Here is a 21,070-nt window from a genome sequence, read left to right as displayed (position 1 = left end):
TAGGGAGATTATTAAAATATGTTTATTTCAATGCAGAGATTTGGGATTCTCAGAAAGTCTCTAATATGGGAAATTAGTATGTAAAATATATCATATTTCCAATCAACTAAGAAAGAATACACATTCAATCAGTGGTATTGAGGCAGTTCTACATACATATTGAAATAAATAACATATTCTATTTCATTCAATACAATTTCAAAACAATTGATTTCTTTACCAACATAGGACAATGTTAACATAGATGTGGGGGACAGGGTGGAGCAAGATGTGTTATTCAGGAAGGTGTGCTTTGGTTGTTAAATACAACTGGGCATTGTGGTCAGAAAATGTGGCCTGTACAGTTTTCTAAGTTAATACATTTGTTAGTATTTTCTTTGTGGCTTAAATCATGGTAAATTTTTTTCTAAATGCTATTGTGTATTTTTTAAATGTATAAATTTACTTGATGAAAATGTTTCTGTACCTTGACACATACACCACACACATATATATAATACACAAAAAATATATATATACCCACTTATATGTATATATGTATAAATACACACATGTATGTATATATGTATATATATGTATGTATGTATAATCAAGCTTCTAAATTGGTTATTCAATTCCTTTCTGTATTAATTACTTGCTCTACCAATTTGATAGGTGTACTCCTGAAAGGAATATTTTAAATTTTCCTACTATGAATATTGATTCTTCCTTGTATTTTTAAGCTTATATAGTTAACTGTCAGGCCTATAAATTGGTTATTCAGTTCCTCCTTATTTTACCAATTTAATGTGTACTCCTAAGGGAAATATTTTAAGTCTGCCTACTATGAATTCTTGCACTTTTTGGCTTTTCTATACATATTTCAAAGCTTTACTTTATGGGCATAAAAGTTTTTAAAGTATATCATGGAGTACTTATATATAATAAATATTTTTAAATCTCTGTAACAAATACAATGTACCTCACTTTAAATTCTATTGTTTCAGATACTAGCAATGCAATATCAATTGTCTCATTGTTATTTTATTAGTAAATATTTTTCCATTTTCCTTTGTGTTCACCATTCTGTATCATCTTGTTCCTGGTGTGTCTTTTATACAGATTACGCAAAGATTTTTAAGCCAATCTAGGAATCTTTGATTTGATAAAATAATTTAATACATTTATATTTATTAAAATTCCTGCTCTGTCTGGACTTGCTTTTGGTATCTCCTTTTGTTTTCCATTTCTCTTGCTCTCTCATGTGATGTCTTTAATGTGCTATTCTTGACTTGTTAATTTAACTAAATATTACTTACTTTTGGTATTATGTTTCTAATTATTTGGAAGCAACACACTTATATTCTAGAGATTACTCTTAAATTTTCAACACGTATGTTAATATTTTTCTATCAATATCACAGATCACTACCCATGTTACTCCCCCCCAATAAAAATTACAAAAAGTTTGCTTAACACATATTTTGCTCTTAGATTTTTCACTTCTTTATCTTTATCCAATCTATCTGTATATTCAAATTACTTTACCTTCCAATTAACTAATTCTCTAATTTGCTCTATTCTTTCTATTATGCAACCCTGTCTACTTTCTTGAAAGTTAAAAAACTATATTTTGGGCTGGGAACATTTTTCATTAAACTTTATATTTTGAAGTAATTGTAGACTCATATTCAGCTGTTAGAAATAATATAAAGAAATCCCATGTACATTTTATTCATGTTCCTCCATTGGTAATATTTTGCAAAACTATAGAAGAATATCATAACTGGGGTATTTATATTGACAAAATCAGGATATAGAACATTTTGATCACAATAAGAATCCCTGATGTTGTTACATTGTTTCATTCACTTTCCTCATTTCCCTACTCCATCCCTGACACCCAGAAATCACAAATAAAAATTTTGTCACTATTTTATAAATGTAATCACACAATCATATAATACGTAAACTTTTCATTTGGCTTTTTTCACTCAGCATATTTCTCTGGAAATTCACCTAGATTTTTGCATGCATTAATAGCTTATTTTTTTTAACTGCTGAATAGTATTCCATGTCATGGATGCCCCACATTTGTTTAATGATTCAGCCATATTTGGGTTGTTCCTAGTTTTTTTACTACTGTAAATAATACTTCTAGAAACATAATGTACCAGTTTTTGTGTTAACATAAATCTTCATTTCTCTGGGATAAATGTTCAGGAGTATGAACACTGATATTTGGTAGTTGCATATCTACTTTAAACAATATTGGCTCACACCTGTAATCTCAGAACTTTGGGAGGCCGAGACAGGCAGATTGCTTAAGCCCAGGAGTTCGAGACCAGCCTGAGCAACATGGTGAAACCCTATCTCTACAAAAAATACAAAAATTGGCCTGGCATGGTGGCTCACGCCTGTAATCCCAGCACTTTGGGAGGCCAAGGCAGGCGGATCATGAGGTCAGGAGTTCGAGACTAGCCTAACCAACATGGTGAAACCCTGTCTCTACCAAAAATACAAAAATTAGCTGGGCATGATGGTGCATACCTGTAATGCCAGCTACTCGTGAGGCTGAGGCAGAAGGATCGTTTGAACCCAGGAGGCAGAGGTTGCAGTGAGCTGAGATTGTGCCACTGCACTCCAGCCTGGGCGGCAGAGCGAGACTCTGTCTTAAAAAAAAAAAAAAAAAATTAGCTAGGCATACAGCATCATCTGCCTGCAGTCCCAGCTACTTGGGAGGCTAAGTTGGGAGGATCTCTTGAGTCCAGGGAGGTAGAAGCTGCAGTGAACCAAGATCATGCCACTGCACTCCAACCTGGGACACAGAGTGAGACCCTGTCAAATAAATAAATAAATAAATGTAAAAATAAAATAGAATAATTTGTCAAAGTGTTTTCCAGAGTGATTGGACCATTTTATATTCTCACCTGCAAAGCACGAGTGATTCAGTCTCTCTTCATCCTCACCATCATTTGGTGGTCTCAGTTTCATTTTAGCCATTCGGATAGGTGTGTAGTGATTTCTCATTGTGGTTTTAATTTGTATTTCTCTAATAGCAAATGGTTTTGAACATCTTTTCATGTGCTTATTTACCATCAGTATAGACCCTTATGTGAAATGTCTCTTCTTGTCTTTTACCCATTTTCTAATTGCATTTAGATTATTAGAGGGAGTGTTGGTTAATTTGTTTTGTTTTGTTTATACAAGTAGTCTCCCCTTATCTTGCAGGTATTCATTCCAAGACCCCAAATGGATGCCTGAAACTATATACAGTACCAAACTCTACTTATACACAAATTTCTTCTTTTCCTCTTCACAATTTCATGAAGCTTCATTATTACTGTATATTTTAGCAACCTCAGCCTATGACTTTTTTCTTTCCCTATTAAGGAGAGCACTTTCGCCTTTTCACTTAAGCACATTAAGGCTTCTCTTTGGCATATCTGAATTGCCAGAATCACTACTTTTGCATTTGGGGGCCAGTATTAAGTCAAATAAGGGGTACCTGAACTCAAGCACTGAGATACCACAAGAGTCAATCTGATAACTGAGACTGCTACTAAGTGACTGACAGGTGGGTGGGTGGAATAGACAGTGTGGGGACGCTGGACAAAGGAATGATTCACACCTCACCCAAATCGAGTGGGACAGGGTTAGACTTAACAATGCTACTCAGAATGATATGCAATTTAAAACTTATGAATTGTTTATTTCTGGAATTTTCTGTTTTGTATTTTTGGGCCATGGTTGACCATGAGTAACTGAAACCACAGATAAGAGGGGGCTACTACACTGCTGAGTTTGAGAGCTCTGTATTCTATAAATAGATCTTATCCATTTGTTAGATGTGTGCTTTGAAAATATTTTCTCCTAACCGGTAACTTATCTTCTAATCTTTTTAATACAGTCTTTCACAGAGCAAAAGTTTTTAATTTTGCTGAGGTCCAATTTATCAATATGTCCTCCTATAGACTGTGCTTATGGTGTCAAGTCTAAGTGTAACTCTAGATCTCTAAGAACTTTCCTTAGAATTTCCTTGTTTTTAAGTTTTGTTTTTTAAAATTTACATCTATAACTTTTATTGACAAATATTATGTTTATGATGTACAATGTGATATTTTGATATATTATACACTATGAAATGACAAAATCATGCTGATTAACATATCTGTTACCTCACATACTTATCATTTTTGTTTGTGGTAAAAATCTAAAATCTACTCCATTAGGAATTTTCAAGTATACAATACATAATTGTTAACTACAGCCACTGTGCTATAAAATAGAGCCCAGAGTTTATTCCTTCTGTCTAACTGAAACCTCATATTGTTTGACCAACATCTTCCAATCTTTCTCCTCACACACTCCACCCTCAACCCCTGATGTGTTAGGCCATTCTTGCATTGCTATAAAGAAATACCTGAAACTGGATAATTTATAAAGAAAAGAGATTTAATTGGCTTATAGTTCTGCAGGCTATACAAGAAGCATGGCACTGGCATCGGCTCAGCTTCTGGGACGGCCTCAGGGAGTTTTACTCATGACAGAAGGTGACGTGGGAGCAGGCATGTTTCATGGCAAAAGCAGGATGGGCAGAGGGGCACAGGAGTAGGTGCCACACCACTTAAACAGATCTCATGAGAACTCACTCCTATCGTGAGGCCAGCACCAAGCCATGAGGGATCTGCCACCAGGACCCAAACACTTCCCACCAGGCCCCACCTTCAACACTAGGGATTACATCTCAACATGAGATATGGAGGGGACATCCACACTATATTATCTGGTACCCAGTATTCCATTAATATTCTCTGCTTTTATGAGTTCAGTTTTTTTAGATTTCCCATATATGTGACATCATTAAATCTGTGGTATACTTTAAGTTAATTTTTGTACAAGGTGTAAGACTGAGGTCGAGCTTTGGTTTTCTGCCAATGGATATCCAAATGCTCCAGGAGCACTGATAATTGAAAAAGCTATCCTCCCTCCATTGAACTACTTCTGTACTTTGACAACCCTCATGAACGGGATTGGCATCCTTAGAAGAGTCCCAAGAGAGCTCCTTTGCCCTTTCCATGTGAAGACACACAGAGAAGCCACCATCTACAAATTAGAAAGTGGGCCCTCACCAGACACCAAATCTGCCAGGCACCTTGATCTTGGACTTCCAGCCTCCAGAACTATGAGAAATAAATTTCTATGGTTTATAAGTCATCTAATTTATGGTATTTTCATTATAGCAGCTGGAAGGTACAAAGACAGTTGATTACATTGATTTTCTAATTGGATTATCCTTGCACCTCTGTAAGAAACCTGACTTGGTCATAGTGCATAAGTTTGTTTGTTGTTTTTTTATTTCTGAATTCTGTTTGTTAATTTTGTTAAGGTTTTTTGTGTCTATATTCATAATGTAATGAATTTTATCTGTAGTTTTCCTTTTTTGTACAGTTTTTGTCTGGTTTTGGCAAAAGGGTAAAACTAGCTTCATAAAATAAACTGGGAAGTATTTCCTCCTCTTCTGGAAGACAGTGTATAGAATTAGTATTGATTATTTTTAAAATATTTGATGATAATCTTCATTGAATTGGTTTGGGCTGGAAGATCTTTTCTTGGGGAGTTTTCAAAATGTAAATTCAATTCAATTATATACTTCATGTTCCATGAATTGTCCAATTTGTATTTTCAAAGACTTTGTCTATTTCAATTAAGTTGTCAATTATGTGCATAGAGTCATCCCTAGTATTTCCTTATTATTCTTTTGATGTCTGCAGTCCATAGTGATCTCTCATTTCATTCCTGTTTTTGAATTGAGATTTCTCTCTTTTTCCTTTGTCAGTCTTGCTAAAGCTTGGTCAATTTTATTAATCTTTCAGAAAATAAATTTCTGCTTATTTCATCTCATTTTCCTCTGGCTTTGTTCACTCAGCATAATTCAGGATTCATTTGTGTTACTGCGTGCATCATTAATTCATGTTTTTATTTAAGAATAGTATTATATTATATGTATGTATGCAAATTTTTTATCCAATAACGTATCAATCCACCTATTTTCAATTTGGGGCTACTAGAAATAAACCTCACTTGCCAAACTTTTTTCCAAAGTGGTTGGACCATTTTGCATTCCCACTGTCAGTATATAAAAGTTCTAATTGCTTCAAATCTTCACCAATGCTTATTAAAGTCAGTCTTTTTAACTTCAGACATTCTAATAAATGGGTAGTGGGTTTAGCTATATTTCCCTAATGATATTGAGCAGCTATTCATTCCCTTACTTTGCCACCTATACATCTTCTTATGAAAAGTTTTTATTCAATTATGTTGTTTATTTATTGAATTGTTTTTTCTCTTCTTATCATAGTGTTTTAAGAAAAGTATTGTTTATATATAATAGGCAGGAGTCCTTTTTCAGATATATAGTCTATCTTTGGTTTGCCTTTTCATTTTCTTAACAATTGCCTTTTGAAGAACAAATGTTTAATTTTAAATAAGTCCATTTTATTGATTTTTTTACAGTTTATATATTTCTGTCATATTTAAGAAATATTTTCCAAACCCAAGCTCACAAAAATTATCTCCTACACTCTCTTTGAGAAGAAAAAAGGTTTTACATTTAGGTAATAATCCATTTCAATTTACACCAATACTGCACTGCCTTTTCTTTTACTTATAACTGATTTAATGACTGTTGAAGTCAGGTAGCATATATAATTCAACATATTAATAGTATTGAGTTTTCCTATGCATAAATAAGAATACAACTCTTCATTTATTTAGATATTCTTTAACTTTTTTTTAAGAGTTTTTATACTTTTTAGTGTAGGGGTCTTACATATCTTTTTAAAATTTAATTCCTAAGTATTTCATATTTTAATACCATTATAAATGGTACTTTTACTATTTTAACTTCTGATGGTTGTTTGCTTGAACATAAATATGTAATTGATTACCTATTACATAAACAGGTAATTGTAAAAGATACCTTGCATCTAAAACCTTAATAAACTTACTTATTATTTATTGTCTCTTTTTTGTAGATACCCTCTAATTTTCTACGTAGACTAAAAGTTGTTAAGATGTCAATTCTGCCTAACAGCACCTATAAATTCAACACAATCTGAATCAAAATTCCAGCAGGTATTTTTATATGAAAATTAACAAAATGATCCTAAAATTTATATGAAAATGAAAAGGATCTAGAACATATAATTCTTAAACCCCCAAAACAACCCAAATAAAAATGGGCAACATATTTGGACAGACACATCACCAAAGATATACGGAAGGCAAATAATCACAAGAAAAGAAAATTCATTGCATTAGAGATCAGAGAAGTATAAATTAATATAACAATGAGATATCATTACAAACCTATTAGAATGGCTAATGGGTTTCTGGCTAAAAAGACTGACAATACCAAGATTAGGTGAGGATATGGAACAACTGGAACTCCTATACACTGTTCACAGAAATGTAGAATTGTACATCCACTTTAATAACTAGTTTATTTAAAAATTTAACATATACCTACCATATGGTTCAGTCAATCCACTCCAGGTATTTACATAAGAAAAATGAAAGCACATAGCCATACGGAATACAACTCAGCAATAAAAGGAAATAAAAATTGGTAACATGCTGCAACATGGATGAATATTAAAATAATTAGGTTAATAATTATTAACTTAAAGATGTTAAAGAGGATATACCAAAAAATTTGCATAGTGTGTGATTTCATATACATGAAACTCTAAAAAATGAAACCTAATCCATAGTGACAAAAAGGAGATCAGTCATTGCCTGAAGATGCAGAAGGAGTAAGGAGAAGAGGAGTTACAAACAGGCTTCTAGACAGTAGGAAGGGCATATGAGGAGCCTGTTCCAACTGAGACAATGCATTTTAAGGTAATTTCCAGGAAATTCCAAACAACGTTTTCACTACATATGCTGTGGTTTGAATGTGGCCCCTTCAGAATTCATATGTTGCCAATCTGAAGGGGTTTATAAGTGAGGTCTTTAAGTGATGATTAGACCAAGAAAGCTGCTCCCTCATTAATGGGATTAGAGACCTTTTAAAAGAGGCTTCATACAGTGTTGGGCTAGCTTGCCTTCTGCCTTCTGCCATATGAGGACAAAGTAAGAGGGCCCTCACCAGACCAAATGCCAGCACCATGATCTTGGACTTCCCAGCCTCCAGATCTGTGAGAAATAAAGGCATTGTGTAATAGCAGCAGAAAAACTAAGAAAACACATCATTGACTCTGTGTCACTGACTATATATAGGTGCAAAGAAGATGCCACCATTTGTAATAAAGAAATTCTGTACACAAAGGAGAAAGTGTCTCCCTCAGCACTCTTTCTTATGTTCCAGCACTCTTGTGCATTTATTGTTTAAATATTTTTTTCAGATATTTCAAAATGATTTTGAGAGGGAGAAGAGGAAAATGCATATGCTTAGTTAACCAGAATTGCAAATTGTCTTTACTCAGATTTGTAGCTATTTATTGTATAAGCCATTTCCTCGTATAAACATTGATGAAATTCTGAACTACATTCACATAATTTACTGTTTAAAGAAACCCAATAGGTGAACTATTTTGCAAATACTGATTCCCTAGGTGCTCTTTAAAATTATTTTTAGTAATTTTTCTTTTAAGGTAATTTTAAATTATAGAAAAAGTATAGGAACAATACAAACAATTCCTTATTCCATTCACATAGAGACCACATTCAAATTTTGTCAACTTTCCCAATAATCTCTTTCATAACAGAAGTATTATATCTAGAACCATATTTTGCACTTAGTTGCCATGTCCCTTCAGTCTGAGGCCTCTCTTGACCCTCATGACTTTAACATTTTTGAAAACTCTAGAAAAGTTACTTTGTAGATTTTCTCTATTAGCTTTATAAGATATTTTCTCATTATTCAGTTCAGGTTATACATGATTGTCAGGAAAATCACAAAACAATGCTGTGTTGTTTTAAATGCATCCTATCATGGGCATACAATATTGCTTTATCCCATCACTTGAACGAAGTAGTGTCTGCCAGGTTTCTTTACTGTAAAGTCACTTTTTCCCTTTATAATTTACAAGTATTTTGTAGGAAGATACTTAGAGATTATGTAACATCTTATTGTTTATCCAACTTTTACCCATTAATTTTAGTACTGATTAATGTTTCTTGCCTGAATTATCTTTCAGATGGTTGCCAAGTAGTAATTTTCTAATTCCATCATCCTTCTACTTTTATTAGTTGGCATTCTACTATAAGGTAAAGTTTTCTCTTCTCCCCATGAATTAAGCACATTCCACATTCCATTAGATCCCAGTGAAGTAAAATATTCCTATTTTATTCAGTAAAATAATCTGTTACTATCATTCTTTATTTTGACCCTCAAGTTGTCTTAGGGGTAGGCACATCCTCTGTGTCCTTTGATACATACCTACTATTCTTTGAGCTCTTCCTTACTTTTTGACATATGATACTCCAAACCTTGCTTAGCCCCAAACCTGGAATCAACCATTTCTTCAAGGACACCTGGTTCTACTTAATGGAGAATGGTATTTAGAAACCAAAATGTGGATGCTAGGTGTGCTCATTGCTACCAGGATGTTGTTATTCCCAGGCCCTTCCAGTAGACAGAGTTGGGAAGTAAATGTAGGTATATGCACTTAAGTATATGTAAATACATACAAATCTATATTTGTTTCTATTACATCTATACCTGTTTCTATTATTGAAAGTCATGAGATCACACCAACACCTCCAATTTCAATCCAACACAACAAGGTTCATTCTAGCTTTCCCTATACTATCTCTGTGACTCCTATGTCCATCAGTAAGAAGGCTGACTTGAATATATATTTTTTCAATATATTTAATTATTTTCTGAATACCCTGCCCCCACCTTGTACGTAACAAATCTTCTGACCCTGCCAGGCCACTGCCCACTCAGCCCCTTTCTTTAATTGTGCTCTGATACTTTCCAGGTGAACTCCCAACTTAGCTCTCCTTGTCATATGGGTCTTAGCTGTAGTCTTAGCTGTTCTCTTTGTATGGTTCATGGCTTCTTAATTGAATTATGAAAAAAAAAAGGGAGGAAAGCCTATGTTATTTTTGTAGTCTCATATTTCCATTGATCACATTCTCTTAAGAGAGACCCACAAATATTAAAATACTATTTTTTTTCTTTTTTTTGTAATGGGGTCTCCCTCTGTTGCCCAGGCTGGAGTGCAATGGCATAATCTTGGCTCACTGCAACCTCCACTTCCTGGGTTCAAGCAATTCTCCTGCCTCAGCCTCCCGAGGAGCTGGGATTACAGGTGTGCATCACCATGCCTGGTTAATTTTTGAATTTTTAGTAGAGATGTGGTTTCACTGTGTTGGCCAGGCTGGTCTTTGGTCTCAAACTCCTGACCTCAAGTGATCCAGCTGCCTCAGCCTCCCAATGTGCTGGGACTACAGGCATGAACCACCATGCCTGCCCAAAATATTATTTCTTTTTTCAAATTTATTGATGCCATATTGGTATATGTACATATTACTATTTCTAAGGTTATATAGTGATTTATTGAATTGAATTTTGGGTCACTTTATTAAGCTATTTAAAAGCTGCATGAAAATAAAATACATTAAGGCAGAAATGAAAAATAAATGGGCTGGTAATAGAAACATGTTAATTAAAGTAACATTTTAAAAAACTGTTTTGAAGTAAGTCAATGACAACACTTAACTTGGACTCTAGGCAAAATTTTATAAAATGGAACTGCTTTGTCTTCTGCCTCCTCTAAATGCTCTGAGATTATAAAGATTAATGCAAATTTTGATATAGGAAAAGTCTTCATAACTTTGAGCACTGGGGAAGATCACCTGACAATCATTACTCCAAAAAATATATTTACAATATTTAAGTTGAACATATTATAACTACCAAGCTTATATTTTATTACTTCTCTAATAAAAGCATTTTCCTAATCATTTTTATTAAAATGACACTTTTACCTTTATTAACGACAAATTATTTTTAAACATTAAAATATCTTTCTGGAGGGGTATTTTACCTCTGGCCATAAGTGAGTAACTAGTATCCTTCTTATCCCCAAACAACTGCCCTAAACAATCATAAGCCTGCCTAAATTAGACAAAAATATTTCTTTTCATGTATTAAATAACAGGTAGCCCACGGCTGTGATCCTTATGAGAGGGGGAACAACGAAAGGAGATCTCCGCAGACACTACAGCTCTCTGATAAACGCAAGGAGCATTTTTTAGATATGATCAGGGAGGTCAATAAAGTGAAATAATGGGCTTGCTGAGGGTTGGCAGCAAATTGGAGTTCAGGGTTGCATACATGGCTGGAAGAAGTGCCGTGGGGTACCAGAGAAGAGCAAGCTGGGCAACAGCAAAATATATAAGTGATGCAGGCTTTGATCATAAGTTTGATAAGTCCATTTTATAACATATATGCCAAATCAGTTAATGCAAATTTACACCATGTGAGTAGAAGCACTTTGAGTGGAACAGAGAAGGTGATAGTGATTCCATTCTATTTGGAGTGGGTCATACCATACTTAGAGAAATGTAGTGACTTTTGTTTGCCACATCTTCAGTACACAAATTTAAAAATTCCATGGTGATTTTATGAAGATCCCCACTATTTGGCTTCTTAGTAACTTAAGATTTCACACTCTTGTGAGTGTGATCAGGCCTGAACCAAGATATATAACTGCCCTGAGCACTCTTCCAATCAATAATGGGAGAAACTCAAAAGTTTCTATTTCTTTATATAAAATGTGTGTGTACACAAACATACATGGAATATATATATTCCACTATATATAATATTTATATATATTACAAATATTTATCTTGTAAGATGTAAACCATTACATCTTACAAAAATTAGAAAGTTTGTGAAATGTATTTTTCATCTTACACCTTCATATTATCTAATCAGAATATCATTGTCCAGAATTCTAATGCAATGATTTTTAGGCATAGTTTTGTAATGCTCCAAAACATCTTCAATGAAATTTAAAAGTAGTACAAATTTATTCACCTGAGTCAGCTGGAAACAAAATTAATTTCAATTTAAAATAAATTTTGAAACACCATACTGCATGTAACACTTTAATAAGCATCTCAAATCATAAAATATTAGCAATAAACTAAGTAAGAAATAAACTAAGTGAACAAACTAGGTAAATAAGCCCTACAGGTAAAAAAGAGGATCAAGTATTCTCAATATCAGTGAATAGGTTACTTTTTGCTATTGTTTTAAAAAACATTCATAGATTATCTTTAAAGTATCTCATACCAATTAAGTTTTCTTAAAACATTCCTAACTTAAACTATCCACAAGGGGGACATATTATCAGATACCGCATATTTTCCAAACTGAAAGAAGCCTGTGTCAGCTACACTGACTCAACACAACAAAGCATAGATGACAAGACATGAAGCGGCCAATTTCAATTTGTGAGTGGTAAAAGGAGATTTTAGCTCAGTTTCTCAAAATGTGGCCCAGAAATTAAAATTGTAGCAAACATTTGTGCTGCTTCTAAATATGTTCAGATTGCTGGGCACCTCCTCTGACCCAAATCAATTCCTGTGAAAACTATTGAGTAAGGTCCTAGAAGAGAATGGACGGTCTCTAGGTCAACAATGTCCATTTCACAGGTGGCACTGGTTTTCTAACATGAAACAAGTAGGCTACACGCTAGTAAAATCTTCCAATTTTGTGAAATACGTATAATTGTACTCTCAAAGTCAAGCTCTATCATGATCAAAATTGTTGCATAAGGAACTGTGTTACATCCAGCTTTTATTAAAAGAGAATTTATTATCCATTTTTCTCCCTTCAATTATTTAAAGTGGACATCAAACCTTAAAAAATGCACTACTCATCACTGCAATCTAAGCTAATGCCAGTGTATGTCATATGTATTCAATAAAATACGAAGCATGGTGGTGCTTGTTTTTTGGTGAGGGGACCTAAAGCTTTTATGAGACACGTTGCTATCACTTAAAATTCTTCAGCGCATAACTTGCTGGTGAGCATCAAAAGGTGGGGGTTAGGGGGCACTTCATAAATATCCATTTGAGTTTATTTTCTAATTCTGCAGAAAGTTTACATATATTCCTAATTTTATTATTATTAAAATCTTGGGGATTTTAAGATAACAAATTAAAACAGTATTTATTAAAAACAATTCATTTATTCTCCCAGGCTAATTGTACTTTATACTCCAGGAGAGTAGAGAGAAAACACACACTCTAAATGTATGTATTTTATGATTCTTTCGATGCAATTAATACACTGCGTTGCAGAAGGTTTTAGGCTTCTGCCTTTAAAAAAATTATATAGGATTATGTATAATCAATAATCATTAAACTAAAGGCAAAGAAAAGAAATCTGGTAGTTCCATCAATTTTATTTCGCTCTTGCATGGATTGCCTTTGTTAACATTTTTGGCAGAAAAAAGAATCAAAGCAATTGTAGGACTCTGCACCCCACAATGCGAGCTTCAATTGAAACAATGGTCTTATCGTCTAAGACAGATCAACGTTAAAGTTGGGCAAAAAAACTTAGGAGATCTTGCAAATCTTGTTATGTGAAACCCGTCCTCCCAAAAGACCTATTGGACCACACCTTTGTCCTCCGCGCCCTTTTTTTGCAGGGTCATTAACTCGCATTATTTTTTTGTTCTCCACAGTTCTCACTTGCTTCTCTTCAGTCTTTGCTAGGTTTTCCGCGATCTCCAGTGCAGCCCCTTCCACTTGCCGCGATTCTGCCTCTCTCAGACACTGACACGTAACCTCCTCCCCATACCAAGCCCTCACCCCAAACCAAGCTGTTAAGAACAGCTACAACTGCTTCTGGGAGACGTGGGGGGCGGGGGCAAGGCGGGGGCAAGGCGGGGGCAAGGCGGGAGCACCTCGACCCTCCCGCGAACTCTCGCCGCCGGTCAGTGCCCCCTGAACTGGATGGGACCAAGGGAGTCCCTCCGCAAGGGCCTCCACTTCTGACTACGGTCCGCACGCCCCACCCCTGCTCAGCACCCTGGCAACCCGCGGGACGCTTTGCTGGTGCCAGGCTTCAATCTCTTGTTCTCATTTTCTCGTGTCCTCGCGCTCTTCCTTCTACTGTATTTTTGTCTTAAATTCTTTAATGGCGAGAGAGAGAAAAAAAAACAAAACCAGCTCAGAGCTATAGTCTTCTTCCACAAATACGTGTGTGCTTTTCAGAACCTTTCTCCGTCCCTTTCTCCTGCTAACACATGTGGGGTCTGCAGTGCAAAGGACTCTCCTTTCGTCCAGTGACCAAATGGCAGTCTCTCAGTTTGCCAATTTCATTCATCACGCCCGCACCGACTGAAGCCTACTCCTCACCAGTTCAGCTGTCTTCCAGTTAATTGTATTAACTGCTAAGCACCTCCTCCACCTTTTCGGGTTCTATTACCGCCCTCATTAAAAAAAAAAAAAAAAAAAAAAAAAAAAAGAAGGAAAGAAAAGAAAAGAAAAAAGAAAATCCAACACGAACACTCAAGATAGCGTGAATTCAAAAAAGAAAGTGTGCGTGTGCAACACAGTCTGAGTGTGTGCATCCGTATGCGTCGCCTGCCTCAGCCTGCCCGGGTCCTGAACATGTAGCTGAGAGGTGCAGGACAGTCAGAGGGCCAAAACTTCCCCTGCCAGGCTGAGGCTGGGCCCTCCCGAGCTCACCTGTCCGCGTTCAGGTAACTGGCTAAGTGCCCGCCCGGCCGCGTTCCAGGACACCTGGCCGGGACAGAGCGAATGCCAGTGAATCCCAGGGCGCCCTCTCCCGCGCGTTGGTTCTCTAGCCCTCCTTCCCTGGGAGGGGTGGGATTGGGAGTGTTCTGTTTTCATTACTGCACCCCTTCCCCTAAAGACAACGGGACTGCCCTCCTCCACAGCGCCTTACCTCAAACAGGGGACCGATCTTGTTCTTCTCCAGGTAAGCCTGGATCCGGGTTTGCGGATGAGACGCCATGGGGAACAGATGGGACCGCGAAGAGAGTGCAGGGAGAACGCGCGGCTGTGCGCCTCCGCTGGGGACAACCCTCCTTTTACCCGGACTGGGGCCGGGACAGGAGCTCCGGAGCCTCGGCTGCCCTGCGTGGCTGGCTCGGCCCCGGCCGCGGGCGTGGGTGGCAGCCCGGGGAGCCACGCGCGCGTGGGGCGCTGAGAGCCGGAAGCCTGGGCGCAGCGCCGCCAACTCAGACAACTCCGAGGCGAGGGGAGAACTCATTCATCGCGTTCTCCGCCTCGCGCCCACCCTCGCCGCTCTCCGCAGCGCCCGGCGCAGTGGGGAAATTCGAGGCAGAGGTTCCTTTCTCCTCTGGGCGGCAGCAGCAGGAATCAGGGGGCGGGAGGCGAGCTGTGTCGAGGGGCGCACGCGGGCGGACAGGGGCCGCGGGGCTCGAACTCGCCACCGGTGTGTGTGCGTGCGTGCGTGTGTGTGTGTGTCCGTGCGCGCGCGACTGTGTGTACCTCCTTTCCCCGGTGACGGAACAAACAGCCCGGGCTGCTCCCCGAGGCTGCTCGCCCTACCAGCCGCTCCCTAGCGACAGCGCCGCTTAAAAAGCCAATGGTGAAGGTGCTTCTTTCAAAGTGCACATAAATCTGGTGCTTGTTGGCTACTCCTTGGCAGCTACAAATGCAGTTCGAAAGGGGATCGTCCCCACCGCCCCTTCTGAGCCTCTCCTCAGCACCTTCTGCCCTGCCTACTCTAGCGCAGGGGTTGAGAAGGGCAGAGTTTTGAGAAGGTGCGTGGGTTTAAGGGTTTGCCGCGAAAAAGAAGTTGCCTTCCTTTTCAAAATCTGGTTTGGCCTGGAGCAAGTCGACGGGTGAACGCAGCCTGAGAACCCAGCTGAAAACTCTCAAAGTGCAGGAGCTCAAAGGCTGGAACCAGCCTTTCAGCATTTGACAGGGAGAAGAGAAATGAGCGAGCCAGCCCTCCCCTCCAAAGTTGGCCTTCCTAATCCACGCCTTGAGTCATGTCTGTATACCTATAACTGCATCTCAGACACCACACTATCCCACTTCATAATGTTTCCTCTAGATACTGCGTGAGCTGCTCAAATTTAGCCAATACCTTTCTTATTATGCAGGGATTTCCGAGTCGAAGGTTTGCAGATAGCCCAGGCTTCCTCACAGAGCTCTCTTTCTTGTGAAATACAATACTAAGGTCCCAATGACAATTTCCCTGGCTCCTAACCATGATGTGCTGCCAAAATTAGATTTATTTCTAATAAATATAAATTTTCAGAATGATGGAAACAGTTTTCCTAAAAGCTGACTGCAGCAGTATATATTTTTTTCTTTCTTTCTTCACTGTGTTCTGGATTTCTGTTACTCATAGTTTCTTTATTGGTGTTCATGTTTTCCTTCTGTATTTTAAATATGTGGAAACATGTAATAGATAAGTGTGGAATATCCCAGGAACTATTATTAATTTCATGCATTAAGACATAAGAAATCTGCTAGAATAGCTAGGAGCTTAACCATCCCTGATAACCTGAAATGGACTTGATCCAGAGTGGAAAGATGTCCACATTAATACTTTTACAATCGGACTCATATGATCTGCCTAGGGAGGGTTAAGTTAAATAGCAGTGAGGTGTCCAGGGTTGCCTCGTGCTTTCCATTTTGGTTCGAAGGTATATTTACTTATGTATTTTTTAATGTGTCCAGGAGAAATTAAATACACAGAGTGAATACCAACATTTCTATTTGCTAAAAGGTATAGCGTAGAGCCATAAGGAAGGCCATCTATGACCCAGCTAAAAAGCCTACTATTTTTGATACCACATAAGGTACCAAGATGGTACGCTTCCTGAAATCAAGAGTCTTTCTCTTTTAAGAGGCATCAGGAGGATGCTTCTTTAAATGAAATAAAGACACTTATTAAGTCTTCACCATGCTCAGACTATTGCACTTAGGGCTTTGAATAGAAGAGACAAAGCTTCAGCTGGCAAAATGTGTATGTTTTAAAGAGAGAATGAAGCCAAGTACAAAGGCTCACGTCTGTAATCCCAATTATGTGGAAGGATCACTTGAGGCCAGCAGTTCAAGACTGGGCAACATAAAAAGACCCCATTTCTAAAACAAATTGTTTTTTTTAATTAGCTGGGCATAGTGGTGCACACTTATAGTTCCAGCTACTGGGAAAACTGAGACAGCAGGACCCTTGAGCTGCAGTTTGAGGCTGCAGTGAACTATGAGTGTGCCACTGCATCTAGGCTGGGCCATACAACAAGACTCAGTCAAAAGAAAGAAAGGAAGAAAGAGAGCAAGAGACAAAGAAAGAAGAGCAACATGAGGATATGCATACCCATTTATGTATGTTAAAACTCTGAGCATCCCAAAATTGCACATTTAAAATTCAGGGAGTATTTTCAAAGCTTTTCAAGGCCAACATTAAATATCACCTCCTTCATAAAGCACTTCTTGGTTCTTTCTATTTATCCCTAAACATGGCTTCATTACTACAATAAACATTTATTGCATAGCTTCTCAGTGACAGACATTATGTTAAGACTGGGAATTCAAAGGTGAAAGGCTTTGTCTTTGTCCTCAGTTGCTTCGTCTTGTTGAGGCAATCGGCATATATATAAATAATGGCATCAGATGCTGGGCTTGGTGGCTCACACCTGTAACCCCAGCACTTTGGTAGACCAAGACAGAAGGATCACTTGAGCCCAGTAATTTGAGACCAGCCCGGGCAGGATAGCGAGACTTTGTCTCTATTAACAATAAAATAGTAGTCTCAGCTACTCATGAGGCTGAGGTAGGAGGATCTGTTGAGCCCAGGAGTTTGAGGTTGCAGTAATTGCACCACTGCACTCCAGCCTAAACAAAGCAAGATTCTATTTCTTTTTTAAAAAAGATAGCATGTACAGAGGCACAGAGACACCCAACAGGCTGGTAGTTAAAGATATGTAAAGTATATGTGGAGGAGTATTATTTTCATGTGAGGTTAAAAATGTAAGCAGAGTTCAGCTCATTGAAAGTCCTAAATGCCTTGTTAAGAACAATAGACTTACATCTTGTGGATAATGAGAAGTGACTTGTTAGGCTACAGAATCTGTAACAAATCATGGGGTTATTGTTAGGACTTAAGATATAGGGTTAACGGGGATGGGATGGATTCCAGACATAGTAAAGGACTAATGTTGATTAACTAAATGAAGGATGAAGTTAGAGGAGGAAATCAAAGATGACACTCTGATATCTGACATGAAGCTAAGAGATGACAAATTATTTACCCAAGTCACCCAATGTATCATTGGTAGGGCAAGGTTTTAGTTCAGGTTTTTCTAACTCTAAAGCTGAAGCTATTTCTGCTCTCTACCCTGTAACCTGGAAACTAGTCAAAAATTGAGTTTATAGATATTAGCACCCCTTTGTGGGAACAGCTATGTCTCATGACTTGGCACATAGTAGATACTCCAGAAATAGCAATTAAATGAATGAATTGAATTTTAGAATATCAATTCAGTCCAGCTATGTTCTTTCAGTCTAAACTTTGCCTCTGACTCATGGCATTTATACTCTGTTTTGTTTCCTTTAGTCAATTGCATGCATATTTTGGTCTCTCTTTTAAACTGCAAACTCTCTAAAATCATGAACTGTATCTTAATAATTTTCTTTTACTTTACAGTGTGTAACACAGTATATTTTCGCATAGTAGGTTCTTCATAAAATATCTTTAATTAAGGTACTATTACTATAAGTTTTAAGATTTGTATTAGGTAGTCCCTTTAAAATTGGCTGAAAGGTAACCATTGTCTTGGATTGAATTTATCAACTTTTTCTGCACATATGCCATGGTACCTTTAGGATCCTTTCGCCGTTTTTGGGTTGGATACAGCATGAAAAGACCATTTTCGGTGAGACTGTTTTGACCTCATTGTGTTATAGAAGTGCCTGTCAGCATAATTTACAGATGTACAGAATCCAATTTATAGAATTCACTAAAGCCATTGTCCAACTCCATTTGTAAGACACCTTGCACAGTTCCTTACACAAATAGGTTTCGGAGAGATGAGGGAACAGTGGTGAAGTCCAGTTGACCCAATTAGGAAGTATTAGCAATGTAATCCATTGAAATTAATTAAATGTTGAAGTCAGAGAGCAGAGATGTTCTATATGGATTTCTTGAATTTAGACTTCTATCCCTGAAGCATACTTATCCTCTTTCTGTTTTGGTTTCACCTTGCCACTTTGTAACAAAAAGGGAAAAATATCTTTCCAAGGAACCCAGCACATATGAATAATCTGGCCATAAAAGGGAGGTGCACATAGAGAGTTTTCTTCATTTTTGCCCGAAATGCCTCCCACAACTAATGCAAATGAGCTCACATACAGCATTTACTATGTACTAGGTATTGATAACAGCACTTTATACACTCCCTCAACTCATTTAATTCTCAAAACAACATCATGAAGTAGGTACTACTATTATTCCCATTTTTTTAGATGAGGAAACTGAGACACTTACCAGGTAAGTAACTTGCCCAAGGTCATAGCTAGTAAGTAGCAGAGTATCTTGAACCCCAGTGATGTATTAAACCCCCACTGTCAAGGTTGCAAGAGTACCAATTCAAGTACAAATCAGTCTGATTCCCTTTGCTTTGGATTAGTTCTGACCAAGCTGTGTTTTGATGACTAGTTTGACTTCCCCAGTGTGTGGGTATGGGAAGGGAAGTAGTATGGGTAGCAGATAACGGGGTAACTTTCTGGCTCCATACTAAATGAATATGTTGTCTCTTGTGAGTTTGAATAATAGCTAATCAACCACGTTGGAACTGATTTTTTTTTTCTTTTTTGAGATAGGGTCTCACTCTGTCCCCCAGGCTGGAGTGCAGTGGCACGATTATAGTTCACTGCAGCCTCGACATCCCAGGCTCTTGCAATCCTCCCACCTCAGCCTCCTGAGTAGCTGGGACTATAGGTGCATATCACCAAACCCAGCTAATTTTTGTATTTTTTGTAGATACAGGATTTCACCATATTGCCCAGGCTGGTCTCGAACCCCTGGCCTCAACTGATTGTCCTGCCTAGGCCTCCCAAAGTGCTAGGATTACAGGCATGAGGCTCTGAGCCTTGCCCTGGTTCTAACTGTGTGGAAAATATCAACTTACTGGATCTACTAAATTGACAACTCAAATGATGGTGCCAGCTTGTGAAATCCTGCCATTCAGCCTTCTGAAATTACATTTCTATCTCTTTAATTTCTGCCTTTACTCATTAGGTTTTAATATTTATTTTTTAATTTTTTAATATGTGGACTGTATATAAGCAATCTCCATCTAAAAGACTTTATGTAAATGCATTTTATAACATGTTAATTTTTGTTGTTATGAATCATTTAAAGGAAATCTATAGATATCAGACTATGTAGATACCCTTGATGTTAATTGCCCATAGTCTGTTAAACCTGATATGCTTTTTGCTTATAATTTCCGAGAGCGTATTGTCTTGATTTTTCAAGAGTCTTTGTTGGAAGGAAAAAACAAAACCTTGAGCCATGAAAACTGTTATAGGATACTGTAACATGATACTGAATTTATTGGAAAGGAGGAGGAAATAAGAGCAACTAAGCAAACAAAAGACGATGTCATAAGGCAAAACAATTCTACTCGGTGTGCACCCTGGGGAGCCCGACACTCTGCCTAGGACAGGATATACTATTGCTCTAGTCTCACTATCAAGGAATAAGCAACATGGGACCTATTTCTCAAACTCGGATATCTGTAAATGTCAGCTAATGCTTGTTCATAAGGAAGCACATTACAACAACCTCTGCACTAAGGGTTAAAGGTACTTTTAGCAGAATTAGTGGAACCACCATTACCTAGAGGAAATTTAAATTTTAAAAATAAAATAAAATAGAAGGATGACTTAGCTTTCTGCAAAAACACCCTGGAAACTATAATACTCAAAGTAGTCAGCAAAGCTCTTCTTCCAAAGCAGATGTCGTTAGCCCATTACCTATGGATAAGACCCACCCCTCAACCCTCAGATGGTCTCAGTCCTGGGAGAGAGATAATTTACTGATGTC

At 37.5% G+C, this 21,070-nt stretch overlaps 1 protein-coding gene and 1 long non-coding RNA gene across 14 annotated transcripts in view; one reads left to right on the top strand and one right to left on the bottom strand.

Moving 5' to 3' along the window:
• Positions 1-15,893, bottom strand: part of C8orf34 (chromosome 8 open reading frame 34) — a 488,651-nt gene extending 472,758 nt beyond the window's left edge. For 12 of the 13 annotated variants that reach the window (NR_146186.1, NR_146187.1, XM_047421328.1 and 9 more), the window contains exon 1: positions 14,927-15,893. Coding sequence is in view for 11 of the 13 variants with exons in the window: in XM_047421328.1 (XP_047277284.1) it covers positions 14,927-15,253 (327 nt within the window). In the remaining 2 variants the exon portion in view is untranslated. The remainder of the gene's footprint in view (positions 1-14,926) is intronic. The other variant, NM_052958.4, reaches the window with a different exon arrangement.
• Positions 14,775-21,070, top strand: part of C8orf34-AS1 (C8orf34 antisense RNA 1) — a 28,024-nt gene continuing 21,728 nt past the window's right edge. The window contains exon 1 of the long non-coding RNA NR_038877.1: positions 14,775-14,959. This is a non-coding gene — a long non-coding RNA (C8orf34 antisense RNA 1). The remainder of the gene's footprint in view (positions 14,960-21,070) is intronic.

This window comes from Homo sapiens, chromosome 8, assembly GCF_000001405.40.
Source record: "Homo sapiens chromosome 8, GRCh38.p14 Primary Assembly".
Taxonomy (NCBI): Eukaryota; Metazoa; Chordata; class Mammalia; order Primates; family Hominidae; genus Homo; species Homo sapiens.
The sequence above is the reverse complement of the archived record's forward strand: the minus strand, read 5'-3'. Positions and strand labels throughout refer to the sequence as shown.